At 35.9% G+C, this 14,326-nt stretch overlaps 1 protein-coding gene across 18 annotated transcripts in view; it reads right to left on the reverse strand.

Moving 5' to 3' along the window:
- The window catches only part of DCDC1 (doublecortin domain containing 1), a 506,137-nt gene that overhangs the window by 171,066 nt on the left and 320,745 nt on the right, over positions 1–14,326 (reverse strand). The window contains exons 21-22 of one of the 18 annotated variants that reach the window (XR_002957144.2): positions 8,644–8,737; positions 7,115–7,177 (exon numbers count right to left, since the gene is read on the reverse strand). The exons of 16 other annotated variants lie outside the window; for them this stretch is intronic. Coding sequence is in view for 1 of the 2 variants with exons in the window: in XM_024448485.2 (XP_024304253.1) it covers positions 8,704–8,737 (34 nt within the window). In the remaining variant the exon portion in view is untranslated. Of the gene's footprint in view, positions 1–7,114; positions 8,738–14,326 lie in introns of those variants that run through there. One more of the 18 variants, XM_024448485.2, reaches the window with a different exon arrangement.

A 14,326-nucleotide genomic window follows, 5' to 3' on the forward strand; every position in this document is an offset into this window, starting at 1 on the left:
AGGCTATACCATTGAGGTTTGTGTAAGTACACTCTACAATGTTTGCACAATGTCAGAATTGCCTAAGGATACATTTCACAGAATATATGGGGTCATTTAGGGACCCATGACTGTAGAAAGTTATCTTGTCATGAAATACATTCTGATTGGCATTTTTGTTAATGACTACTTTGTGCTACAAAAAGTCACCTTGTCTCACTTTCATATATCCATTCTGTATACATTTTATATACACATTAACTGACTCAGCACACCTTGGTAGTGTTTGGTGAATGGAGTGATAAGAATAATACATTTATGGAGGATGTTTTAGGTCCAGGCAAAAGTGCCCAGAAAAGTTCTATACAATTGCAAGGTGAGAGCTGTTCAGCAGATTCTAGTTTTTGTGATTGCTTTGTTTCAGAATTATATCTAAGTAATCTCAGAATTTTAAAAGAATTCCTTTTATTTTGAACTCTTTATTTGGAGATAATTTTAGACTTACAGAAGACCTGTGAAAATAGTACAGAGTTCCCATATATCCTTCACCCAGTTTCTCTATTAACATCTTGCATTACCATTGCATGATTATCAATACTAAGAAATTAACATTGGTGTGACAGTATTAGCTAAACTACAGGCTATGTATTTGTATTTCATTAGGTTTTTCCACTAATGTCCTTTTTCTTTTCCAGGATCCAATCCAGGATACCACACTGCATTTAGTTATCACGTCTCCTTAGTCTCCTCTGACCTGTGATAATTTGTCAGTAATTTCCCTTGTCTTTCATGACGTTTATGCTTTTGAAGAAAACTAATCAGTAACATATCCCTTACTTTTGACTTGTCTAATGTTTTCTCATAATTAAACTGAGATTACAGATTTAGGGGAAGAGTACCACAGAGCTGTGTGTGCCCTTCTCATCCCATCGTCTCAGAAGGCACATGCTGAAATGTTTTATCACCAGTGATGTTACCTTTGATCACTTGCTCTCTGCCATGTTTCTCCACTGTAAAATAACTATATTTCCTTAGTAATTAATAAATACTTGGACAACTTATATGAAAATGTCTTGCTTTTCCTTAAACTTTCACTAATCTTAGCCTGCACTGATGGATCTTGCTTACAGCAATTATTGTTATACTGTTCCGATGTTGATTTTTCTATTTTCTTAATTCCTTCTACATTTATAACTGGAATTCTCCTGTAAGAAAGAGTTGTTCCTTCTCTCCTATTCATTTATTTATTCAGGATGCGTTTATAAGAGTATAAATTCATAAATATTTATCTTAAGTTGTGGCTTATATTTATTGTTTTGCTCAAATCGTTCCAGCTTTGGCCACTGAGAGATTTTTTCAGATTGGCTCCTGTGCCCCTTCAACATGCCCCCATTTTATTTGTAAAGCAATTCCTAGCTTTTTGGGACCAATCTGCTCTATTTTAAGTAATCGCTGTGAAGTCGCTCTACTCTATGGAAACTGAATATTTCATCTGACAAACTACATATTCCTTCAAGACTGATCTTGTATCTTTCCACACCTAGCAAAGTAGCTGGCAAGAGATAGGCATTTGTTGACTGTGCTTCAACTGAAAGCTTATTTATTCTCCTTATTTATTCTGAACTTGAGAAAGGCAAAAACTGTTCACCATATTCTGTGCATGTTCTTAAATTTATGTTCGCTGCTTAATCACTGCTCATTTTTCTCATTTCTTTTGGAATAGTCCTAGTTCTCCTGAACATTACTTAGAGATAATCATCATCAGTATCATTTTGAAAAAGTCATCACTAAGCCCTGACCCACCTATGTCTCTGTGACAGACACTATAAAAAGCACATTAATAGCAGTGCCTTCTCTACCTGTCTCCTGCTCTAAACCCCAAAAAAATTCAAAAATGTAAACCACAAACACAACATACAGGCTTTATGAATATTTAGTAAAACAGGATTATAAAATAAAATCAATGTGCACTTGTCCCTTGGTATTCATGGTGGATTGGTTCCTGGACTCCCTTTGTATACCAAAATCAAGTCCCTTATATATTTTATATACAAAATAGTCCTAACTACATTTTGAATCAGAGGTTGGTTAAACCCACTGATGCAGAACCTGCAGATACATAGAGTCAACTGTAATGATCTTAAAATTAATAGTTACAGGGATTTACTTTTTTTTCTTTTAGCAGAACTCTGTTCAAATAGATATTTATGGTATACTTATTATATGATAAGCATTGATAAACTATTACATGATAAACTAACCTATCATAAGAGTTAGGTATTACTATTATGACTATTATGCAGATATGGAAAACTGAGAGATAGAGAGGTAAGTAACATGCCCAAGGTCATATAACTCCTAAGTCATCAGCCAGTATTTAAACTGAAGCAGCCTGATTATAGCACCTACATGTTTAACCATTCTACCACACTGCCTTTGCAGGAGCTCATCACTTAAAGCAGAGCTACCCTCACTGAAGTAGAGAGTGGGAATGCTTACTTCATCAGTATCATTTTAAATCTTCCCTCAGCCAGTGTTGCAGTAGGATTACTTGATAGGTCTATAATTGTGCACATATGGCGCCATATTGAAAAGGCATAAAAGCCAATTGGTTTTCTAAACTTGGTTTTTCCCAGAGACTCCTGAAATTCTCCATCACTATGATGTCCCAGAACTTACCTTGCCAGATGTGCCCATTAGCAGCTTAACATTTGTTTGTTTTTGCTAGTGATTACCAGGCTCTACCTAATGAAGAAAAATTGGCCTGCCTCTAAATATTTCTTTCTTTTTTTTTTTTTTTTTTGAGAAGGAGTCTCGCTCTGTCACCCAGGCTGGAGTGCAGTGGCGCGATCTCGGCTCACTGCAAGCTCCGCCTCCCGGGATACGCCATTCTCCTGCCTCAGCCTCCCCAGTAGCTGGGACTACAGGTGCCCGCCACCTAATTTTTTGTATTTTTACAAAATACAAAATTAGCCCGGATAATTTTTCGTATTTTTTAGTAGAGACGGGGTTTCACCGTGTTAGCCAGGATGGTCTCGATCTCCTGACCTCGTGATCCACCCGCCTCGGCCTCCCAAAGTGCTGGGATTACAGGCGTGAGCCACTGCGCCTGGCCTAAATATTTATTTCTCTTATCAAGATTATCTTTAATTCTAACTTTCATTTTATCTCAGCTAACCATTTCCCACAATTCATCATGGTTTTAAAGGAGATTCAAGCAAGCATAGTCTTTTATTTAGTGTTTTTTAGAAAAACAGAGAGCAGAAGTAGAAATTTGGTTCAGTTAATGAATTTAAGTCTTATTGTTCAATTCCCACCTATGAGTGAGAACATGCGGTGTTTGGTTTTTTGTCCTTGCAATAGTTTGCTGAGAATGATGTTTTCCAGCTTCACAGGAAGGGGAACATCACGCACTGGGGCCTGTTGTTGGGGGAGGGGGGAGGGATAGCATTAGGAGATATTCCTAATGTAAATGACGATTTAATGGGTGCAACACCAACATGGCACATGCATACATATGTAACAAACCTGCACGTTGTACACATGTACCCTAGAACTTAAAGTATTATATATATATATATACACACACACACATAAAAACTTGAAAAAAATGAATTTAAGTGCACATATCAGAACGAAGCATTTGGATACCTGGAGAGTATTTGTGAATTTTTTTCACTCTTTTGAGCACCATACTTAATTTTATTTTCTTGATTGCTTACTGTATTTGTTAAACCAACTGAAAAATATGTCTGATTCCTTGGCGTAACTTCAACTTTTTGTGCATACTTTCATGTTTAGTAATTTCTGCCAAATCTTTGAAAAACAGAACAAGACTTGAGGAGACTCTGGGATTAAAATAATTTGTGCTATGGATGTTATGATGATGAAGTCCTGATTTTCTGGGTCAACTGACAAATAAAATACATTAGAGGTCAATTCTAGATTTCATAACAGATTTTTGGAAGAGGAAAGTATCCAAAAATTATTTTGTTTGACCTGTTTCACTTTCTGGCCTCTCAGCAGGCTCTCTACCATTTGTGTCAATGTGTCTTTGTGGTTAATAGTGCTCCTGGCATGGAGCATGGTTGAAGACCCAAATAGTGAATTTAACTCAAATTCTATCCTCTAACAACAGGACAGTTCTCCTGGGGAACAATTCTATTGTTGGAAGTGCTTTCCTTTGGATGTACCTAAGAAAAGATATCTTTTGATGAAAAAAAAAAGGGAGGGAGAAGAGAGAGATAAAGAAAGTTTAGAAGGCAAGTTTAGAAGGTAAAAGTGAAAAAAAGGGACTTACAAAAGAAATGTTTTTCATATGTCATAAGGTCAAATTTTTTCATAAGTTTTAATTTCATCATTTGATGAAGTAACTTTCAAATGTTGATATCTAATCAAGTGTTGATATCTAATATAGTTGTTTGCTGTGGATAGTTATGTATTAATATAAATATGATAAAAATTATTTCCAAAATTATTATTTTACCCTCATTAAACCACCACTCTATGACAGGTAATGTATGCTGTAGGGTTACAAGCTATGATCCTTAGTCTACTAAACCTTACACATTAGAGGTTTTTGTTTTGTTTTAAGTTCAGGATTTGAAATGAAAAACAGTCAAAGGAAAATGCAACAAAAAGAATTTTAAGGGGACATATACAAAGAATTATTTAAATGCAATAGGCAATGTTACCAAAATGTAATGCTTTAAAATGTAATATGCACAATGATATTTAAGAGGTCATGCTCTAAGTTTCAACTGTTTCAGATCCTGATTGTTCCACTTACTAGCTCTTTGACCTTGAACAACCTTCACTACATTCTCAGTCACTAATTTGTAAATTATGGATAATATTAATACCTAAATTCATATGGTAATAAGTGCAAAATGAAGTCCTCGCCAACAACATGGTAGGCACTTGGTACATTTCAGTATTATTTTTAAAGAGACAAAGGGAAAGGAGTCAGAAATTATAGATTTACAGCCTTTAAAAATTAAGATAAAGTTCCTATGGAACAACAAAAAACATCAGAAAGGTTCAAGAATGATATGATATTCACAAGGATAATGGGTATTATGCCATAAAATTTTTACAGAAGCTGACTGAAAATTACTCTTTTAAAAGAAATAACCAGGAAATCAGTGTTAATAAGAAGCACTTAAAACAGTACCTGGCTCGTGATAGTTGTTTCATAAATATTGGTTAAACTAATAAAATAAAAGGCGATTTAGTTCTATCATTCCTGAGAATAAGGAATAAATTGATGTGAATGTTTATTTTTATTGAGGTGGCTACAATCATTAAAACCTAACCCCAAAGCATGAAGACTAACAATAAACTCTTAAAAAGAAAAATTTAACATTATCAGGTATCCAAAAAAGATGGGTCAAGCCATAGTGGTTTGAGTTTCAGAAAGGCATTGAAAATAATATTGGCTACTGGAAGACAGAAATATGGTTATGCAAAAATGGTCAAAACTAAAAAAAAATTAAAATACAGGACTGTAAAAATAGACACAACAGAGCCTATGTCTTGAGAAAAAAAAGCAACGGAATATGTTATAAATACTAAGTGTCTTACAAAAATGAAAGTCATTTAACTCCTCCAGTCATCCCCCTGGCAATGCTGAATTACATATATTTGTGTTTTTGCACAATATTTGCACAATGGATCTCAGACTTTCCTATGCACTATCTGGAGGATGCATACAGATTGTTGCCCCCAACTCCCATCCTACTTGGGTGGGACCTGATAACTCATTTCTAGCAAGTTGCCAGGAGATGCGCATGCTGCTGGTGTGGGAACCGCTGTTATAGTTAAAAGAAGACTAGATTTAGCTTCTGGATCCCAAGATTGAAACCACAATTCTTCCAGTTACTGGTTGACACTAAAGCTAGTAATTTCAAACATGATTCTAACTGATAGCCATAAAAGGTTCAAATATTTTCTACTGAAAAACAAAAGGCGTTTGCACCAATAAATTGCTATTATTTGCATCAATAATTAAGGGTTTAACCCTTTAGGGCCTAGATCTGAGAAATGTTGGTGCTAAAATACAAGGTAATCTTATAGTTGACTTTATCAGTTAGCCACACTTCAGAAGGAAAAAAAATAAAAACAATAAACAAATAATAAAATGTCTTAAACCCTGTCTTATTCCAGAGGTCAGACATGATACCAGGAAACAGCTGTGAGCTAGAAAAGCTGGGTCAATAGCATCAATAAGTTGCAACTCCTCTGGGGTTGATGTGGTGAAGCACCAAGGCATCATATGTATTCATCTGCATATGGAGAAAATATCTCAAATAAGTTTTGCTCAAAGTATTTATAGCATGCTCATCCAGAAGCATTATCACATGTTAGTACTACATTTAAAGTACAGCAATTATATATTAAGGGTATTTATGCTTATAATGTTAGTTTTAATCATTAATTCATTCAACAATACTTCTTGAGTTTGTGGTGTCTGTGTTGTGCACTGTTCCATGCTCTTAGGGACAGGAGTGAAAGATCTGGGACAGTCCCTGTCCTCATTCAGGGAGGGCATTAACTTTTAAATGCTTGTATTCTCAAAAGAAAGGCAGACAATAAGATGTAACAAATGAGTAAACCAGACAATTTTATATAGCACTAAGTCCAGGAAGGAAATAAAAGAAAGTGATGGGGTTTGGCTGGGGACCACTTCAAATAACTGTTCTGCTGAGCACTAGGTCCCAAGCACTATTTCTAAGTACTTAGTCATTTATCAAGCAACTTACGTTACACTGACTTTGTGCTGGTACTATTCCAAATGCCTTATAAACATTGATTTACTTAATCACATCACAGCCCAATAAGGCTGGAATTATTATTCAAAATATTCAGATGAAAAAGTGGAGACAGAAAGATTAAGTAAATAGGCCAAGGTCATACAGCTAGTAAGAATTCGGAACCAGGGATTTTGTCTCCCAAGTCTGTGCTCCTAATTCTTATATTTACTATACTGGCACTTGATTTTCATATATTATCTCACTTAACCATCACAACTATCAACTGAGGAATTATACCTCATATGGCAGAAGGGGCAACTGAAACACAAGAGAAAAAGAGATTTTGTCAAGGGTAGAATTTGTACCCTCATAGTCTGATTCCAGTCTCTTCTTGACCATTTCATCTTACTGCCTCTAGATGACCTTTATGGAGAAATCATTATGGTCTAAAAGATAAAAGAAGTAAAAACACTAAAGCAAAATGACTTTATGTTTATATGTCATATAAAATATTAGAACAAAGAACTAAGTCTTATTTTAAGATTTTATCACCGAACACCATGTAAAGTTAGTGATTTTATGGGAAGCCCCACAAACACAAGCTGCATTCCAGTAAAATCCAATATGAAGCATCAGCAACTACCTTCTTGTCTTTCTTTCCCTGCTTATTCACTGTCTTTTCCTTTAACAATAAAATTCTCCAACAATGCAGGATAAAATAGGCAATATTGTAATATGAAGCATGGGGGTTGGTGAAGTATTAGAATGAGATTCAATATTAGGATTCTTGGCTAACTATCTGAGTGGCCATAGACAAATTATTTAATTTCTTTGGGCCTGCAATTTGAGGAGAGAGGATTGTATCAATAATTCAAAACTTGTTTATGTAACGGAACACACAGAATGTAGTAAAATATTAACCTATTAATTTGTAATAACCACATATCCGATTTTTTGCTAGACCAGATACCACCTTACCATCTTATACTAAGTTCTAGAATAAACAAATGCCAGCAAGTCCCAAAGTCATTTTTAAAATGTCTTTGTGAAAAAAATAAGGAAGATCTATACAATTATTTCTGTGAATGGGTCCAAGTCTTCCCTGTCTTCATTTTTAGTAGCAGGATACTGAGGTTCCCTAAAGCATAGTTTGAATACCAATCAAATAGCTATCCAAGGTTTGTTGTTGTTTTTTTTTTCCAGCCCACTATGACCGCTTCACACTAGTGAGCAGGTGAGTTGAAATATCTGTATACAACCCATAGATATCAAACATATCTACAAAAATATCTTTTGAATAGGAAAGACACGGTTGTGGACGTTGCTTCTTGTGCGGCTCAGTATCCTTCACCATCCTCTGGCAACCTGACCTTAGTTTCTGTGTGAGAACCAGCAACCTCTTAGTCTCAGTCCATGTGATTCCAGTGAAGCTGGATCCACCCCTAAGTCTAGTGTTGGTGCACATGACCTGGATCTAAGGCAACTGGCACATCATAAAGAACCCTTCCCAAAAGGGCTTTGTTTAAACAGTCATACATCATTTAACAAATAAGTTCAGGGAAATGCTTCTAGGCGACTTTGTAATTGTGAGAACATCATAGAGCGTACTCCACAAATCTGAGATGGTATCGCCTACTATACATCTAGGCTATATGGTATAGCCTATTTCTCCTAGGCTACTAACCTGTATAGCATGTGACTGTACTGAATACTGCAGGAAACCGTAGCACAATGGCAAGTATTTGTGTATCTAAACATAGTTAAGGTACAGGAAAATATGAGGCCACTGTTGTCTATGCAGTCTGTCACTGACCAAAATTTCCTTATGCTGTGTAATTGAGAGACTTTTGCTGATACATACTTGTATGTAATTCAGAGACCAGTAATTCATGAGACTTTTGCTGGTACATACTTCTGGTAGGTTCGTATGTATCTGAAATCTGAGAAAGTTTAAGAGACAAAGCTGCTGACATCATGTTCCTTCTTCAAGCCTCCTGAAGGCAGAACTGAGATGGAGAAAAATAGAAAAGTTGGAGAAGTATCAGTTGAAAAATGTTGGAAAAGCCATTTTCCATGTAGGAAAATTTTTTTCCCTAATGGATTTTTTTTTTCAGGTTACATGCTTAAATCAGTTTGCACCAGGAATTTTATTACCTGTAACTAAGAGAACAAACCAACATAAACAGACATTGGTTATGTTGTGTTCTCGAATTCCTGATGGTCAACAAAATGGAAAGACCTATTACAGTTATTGTCATGGCACCACATGCGATTTTTACAATTTTTCCTCCCTTCTGTCACCTCCCAAACCCTAAAGTAGGGTATGTGATATTTAATTATTGTGGCTATTAGGCCTAAACTATGAGGCTGCTGAGCCGGTAATTTTGATTTGTTTTGTGTGTGTGTGTGTTTCTTTTTGTTTTCTTTTTTTTTTTTGTACCTTATAAGTGCTATATTTTATGTTTTCCTTTTTTGCGCTAGTGTTCACCATGATAGGGATTCTACAGTTAGAAGATAAATCAAGAAATAATCTAAACCAGACCTTTACCAGATTGCAGGAGTGTGGTAGATAGAATTTTACAAATCGCCCTCAAAGATGTCTTTCCCTAATTTCTGGAATCTGTGAATACGAGATATCACTCCCATAATTATATTATGCTATATGGCACAGCGGACCTCAAGACAGGGTGATTACCTGGGCAAGCATAACCTACTTACATGAGTCCGTTTAAACACAGCGAGTTTTCACCAGTTGGCGACAGAAGGAAAAGTCACAGAGATTTAAAGTACAACAGGGGCCGGGCACGGTGGCTCACGCCTGTAATCCCAGCACTTTGGGAGGCCAAGGCTGGCGGATCACAAAGTCAGGAGATGGAGACCATCCTGGCTAACGTGGTGAAACCCTGTCTCTGCTAAAAATACAAAAAATTAGCCGGGCGTGGTGGTGAGAACCTGTAGTCCCAGCTGCTCAGGAGGCTGAGGCAGGAGAATGGGCATGAACCCGGGAGGCGGAGCTTGCAGTGAGCCGAGATCGCGCCACTGTACTCCAGCCTGGGCGACAGAGCGATACTCCATCTCAAAAAAAAAAAAAAAAAAAAAGCACAGCGAGGATTTGACACACCACTGCTAGCTCTGAAGATGGAAGGGGCTGTGTGCCAAGGAACATGGGTACCCTCTAGGAACTGAGAGTGGCCCTGAGTGACAGCCAGCCAAAAAAAAGGGGACATCTGTCTTATAACTACGAACAATTGAATTTGACCAACACACTGGAATGATTTGGAAGCTGAGTCTTCCCCAGAGCATCCAGATAACAGTCCAGCCTAGCTAACACTTCAATTTCAGCCTTAAGAAGCCCTAAGTAGAGAATCCAGACAAGTTCATTTGGACTTGGTGAAAACTCGCTGTGTTTAAATGGACTGTGAGATAATAAATGGCCATTGTTTTAAACTGCTATGTTTGTGGTACCTTGTTACCCAGCAATGATAGCTAATACAGGCAGTTATTGCTACAATACCATGTGGTGCTGATGTTTCAGGACAAATAATAAACTAATTATTTGGGCTTTCATGACACAGTGAGAGAGATGTTATTATACTTTTTGTTCAACCTTGGAATAATGAAATCTATGGTATACCAGTAAACCACAATGAGTATTTTACAAGACGTATAGGCATAATAATATAAAATCTTATGTCTTATATATACTTTATATATCTATTTGTAGTCTCATAAATATACTTATATGTATATGTGTGTAGACTAAAAAGGAGCATTCCAATCTCACCAACACACACATATGCACACACCTTTTCCTACATGTACTTCTTACAAATAAAACAGGAAAAAGACTCTCAAATTTAGGAATTTAATTTTTACTCTTCCTACTCAGAGAAATTTCTGCTTGTGCGACCCACTTCTTACACGTGACGGAGGGCAAAATCCTTCCCTCTCCCTCAAGTTTACTGAATTTGACCCCATTTTTTCTTTTCTTTTTCCTTTTTTTTTTTTAACTCGCCTTAGACTTACTTATTTTGTTACTCTTACAGAGAAACAGACTTCCAATGTAGGCTTCTAAATAGCTTAGCAGAAAATTCCCTATTAGAAGTATGCTAAATACCTCCACCTGCTGTTAGAACCAGGAATTCGTTTTGTAGCTACGTTGTAACTTGCTTTTTAAAAAACATTAACACAATTGCTGTAAGTTTAGAGAAACACTTGCTCTCTAGTTCTAATGGTACCATTCTTTCAGAGGTTCAAGATAACTGTTCCTAGTTTTTTTAACAAACTTTTCTTCTCAGGAGTATCGAACCCGCCTAGATAAGCTCATAAGTGCAGTCAAGTAATTTCCTTTCCACAGAGCTCTCCAACTGCATGGAGTCTCTGTTCTCAGTGGTGGATATGTCCAATTGGGAGATGTTTTTCTTTTTTTAAACTTTTTATTCTGAAGTAATTATAGATTCATAGGCAGTTACACAGAGCAGTCCCAAACCCATTTTCCAAGCTTCTCCAGTGGTAATATCTTACACAAATACGGTACAATGTTAAGAAATTCACACTGGTACAATCCATAGCGCTTATTTAGATGTCACTAGTTATGCATGCACTCATGTGTGTGTGTTTGCATGTGTGTGTAGCTCTACTCAATTCCATCACATATGTAACACATCACAATCAAGACACTAGACTGTTCAATCACAAGACTCCCTTTATTCATATCCACGTTGCTTGCCCCTGGAAACCACTAACCTGTTCTCCATCTCTATAATTATGTTATTTCATGAATGTTACATAAATGGAATCATAAAGTGTGTTTGCTTTTGAAATTGGCTTTTTCCATTCAGCAGAATTTCACTGTGGTTCATACAAGTTGTTGTGTGTCTCAAGAGTTTATTCCTTCTTAATGTTGAATAGTATTCATGTTTAACCATTCATAGGAAAAGCCTTTCTGCTTGTAAATATGGAGTGCTACCCAATGTCCTCAGTCATATTCAGAGAATAGCTGCATCTTAGTAGCCATATATGATGTGTACCAAATAAACACTAAGGTATCTTTTTCTCAACTTATTTTGAAACACTGAAAATTTTTTATACTGTCAAATTTCCAGTGGTAGACATGGGTTCAATTATGCCAAAGTTAAATTCATTGAAAAAGAAAATTAAAAACTTTCAAAATTAAGAGTCCTGTTAATCTCAAAGTGTTCACTGGCCTCAGTAAGAAAAAAAAAAAGCCATATGTGCAATTAAGGGTAGAAAAAGAGAAAAAAAAATTCTGGTTGCTTCCAGGGAACTTATACCAGTTAGAAAATTATGACCTACCTCGTGATGAGAGCTTTCTGCTTGATATATGAGCTCACTTAAATAGAAATTAAAACAAATCCTAGGTTTCTGTTAAGATATGACACATATAAAAACATCCATTCTCAAACTGGCAGAACTGGACGGCAGTTTTCACAATAAAAACTTTACACGTTTATGCATTATTGTTAGGGGAGCCATCATTTTATAAATAAGAAATCAGACTCTTTCACCTTCATGAAATGTCCTTCTCTTTCCTTTCAAACAAAACAAATCCCAACTATCCTTCTTCTGGTTCCAGACCCTTCTCTTCCACAATGTCTTCCAAACACACAGCCATCCATTCTTTCCCACACTCTTGGCATTTGTGAGGTGGCGTATCCTCATGTACTGCTGTGTGGAAATTCCATTTGAGTCTTATTATTTAACTTCTACCCTGTGTTCCAAGTTTCTATCTGTTGTTCATTGTCATCTTTTTTATAAAAGCAAAAAAAAATTGGAAACCTCTTAAAGTCCTATAACATTACATTATACAAATTAAGGTTCACACTGAAGGATGATAATGTAGTCATATATTTAATGTAAGGAAAACATGTTCACAGAAAATCTTAATGTCTGTTATTGTGTTGTCATTGTTGAACAGAAAAAAAAATCAGCATGTCCTCAGTTTTGTAAATGTAACTACAACAGCCAGATATTTATAAAAAGGGAGAGAGAAAAAATAATAATCAAGATTGTATATTTTTTTCTGTTCATTAGTTTTTTAAGGGTTAGTGATAAACATGCATAAAGAGAAACAATAAAAGTCATTAAAGTTTTTAACCTTATCTCTTCAACTACATTTCAACTTTCTCAAGAGTAGACTATCACTTTTATTTATATCCTCCAACTTGGCAATAGAGGTGATTTAATATACTCAATTTCTTTTATTCACAGAGGCTAAAAACACATTTTTATAATGTGACTATAGTTTGTCACTACTAAGTTATTTCATTGTGTATATTCATATTTAGATTGCAAAATTCCTTGAGGATGGAGGGATTTTTTTTAACTTAAAGACCACTGTAATACTATATAGTACAATTCTCTACATCCTATGATAACTGAAAAATTACTTTTTGAATAACATATAAAATTTAGCAGTGCACAACTTATTTAAAGGCAGGAATTCAGATTCTTTAAAGAGATTTCAGATTCTTTAAAGACAGGAATTTGTTGCATTTTATAATATTTTGCACTTTATACTAATACTAACAATAGCACATTATTATTGTCATACAAGCTGCCATTTACCGAACATTTACTATACCAAGAACTGGGCTCAACTTTAATATTCATAGTCTCATTTAAACGTCACAATAATCACTATCCCTCTTTTGTATTTGAGGAAATCAAGTAATATTAAATATCTTACCCCAAATCATACAGTGAGTACTTAGGAGAGCTAGGACTGGAAGCCACACTAATCTGACTGTAGTTCAGAGATGTCAGGAAGTTATGCCATCTCTCCTTATAAGTGCTCAATGAGCATTTATCAAATGAATGGATGAATACAAAAATGAGAAATTAATGCATATTAGCTATTACTATGAATTGACTTTCAAATATTAGTAAATCATAGAATAAGAGAGAACACAATGAAAAAAGTTTAGCAATGGGAGTTAAAGATTTAAATCCTGATACGAAATTCACCAAATTAAAATCTAGAAAATGCATCCTACATTGTTTCTGGGCATCTGAATATTGGCACATTGCTCTGTCTGCTCAGTCGAACCCCTTGCCTCTAATTCACAGAAAGCCCCAATTAGAGACTTCTGGTCAAAAAAGAATGGACTCATGACAAACATACAGATAACAAGTCAGTTAAAAGGACTGTCGGCTGGGCGCGGTGGCTCATGCCTGTAATCCCAGCACTTGGAGAGGCCAAGGTGGGTAGATCACGAGGTCAGGAGATCGAGACCATCCTGGCTAACATGGTGAAACTCTGTCTCTACTAAAAATATAAAAAAAAAATTAGCCAGACGTGGTGGCAGGCGCCTGTAGTCCCAGGTACTCGGGAGGCTGAGGCAGGAGAACGGCGTGAACCCGGGAGGCGGGGCTTGCAGTCCGCTGAGATTGCGCCACTGCACTCCAGCCTGGGCGAAAGAGCAAGACTCCGTCTCAAAAAAAAAAGGACTGTCAATTAGTTGTATTAAAATAGATACACTGATGGGCAATTAAAATGGCTACATATACTATAACAATTATTCTTAACTTATTTGAAATCAAACTTCTTTATTGTTTAGAAATATTTAAAGAGG

The sequence above is a fragment of the Homo sapiens genome, chromosome 11 (assembly GCF_000001405.40).
Source record: "Homo sapiens chromosome 11, GRCh38.p14 Primary Assembly".
NCBI lineage: Eukaryota > Metazoa > Chordata > Mammalia > Primates > Hominidae > Homo > Homo sapiens.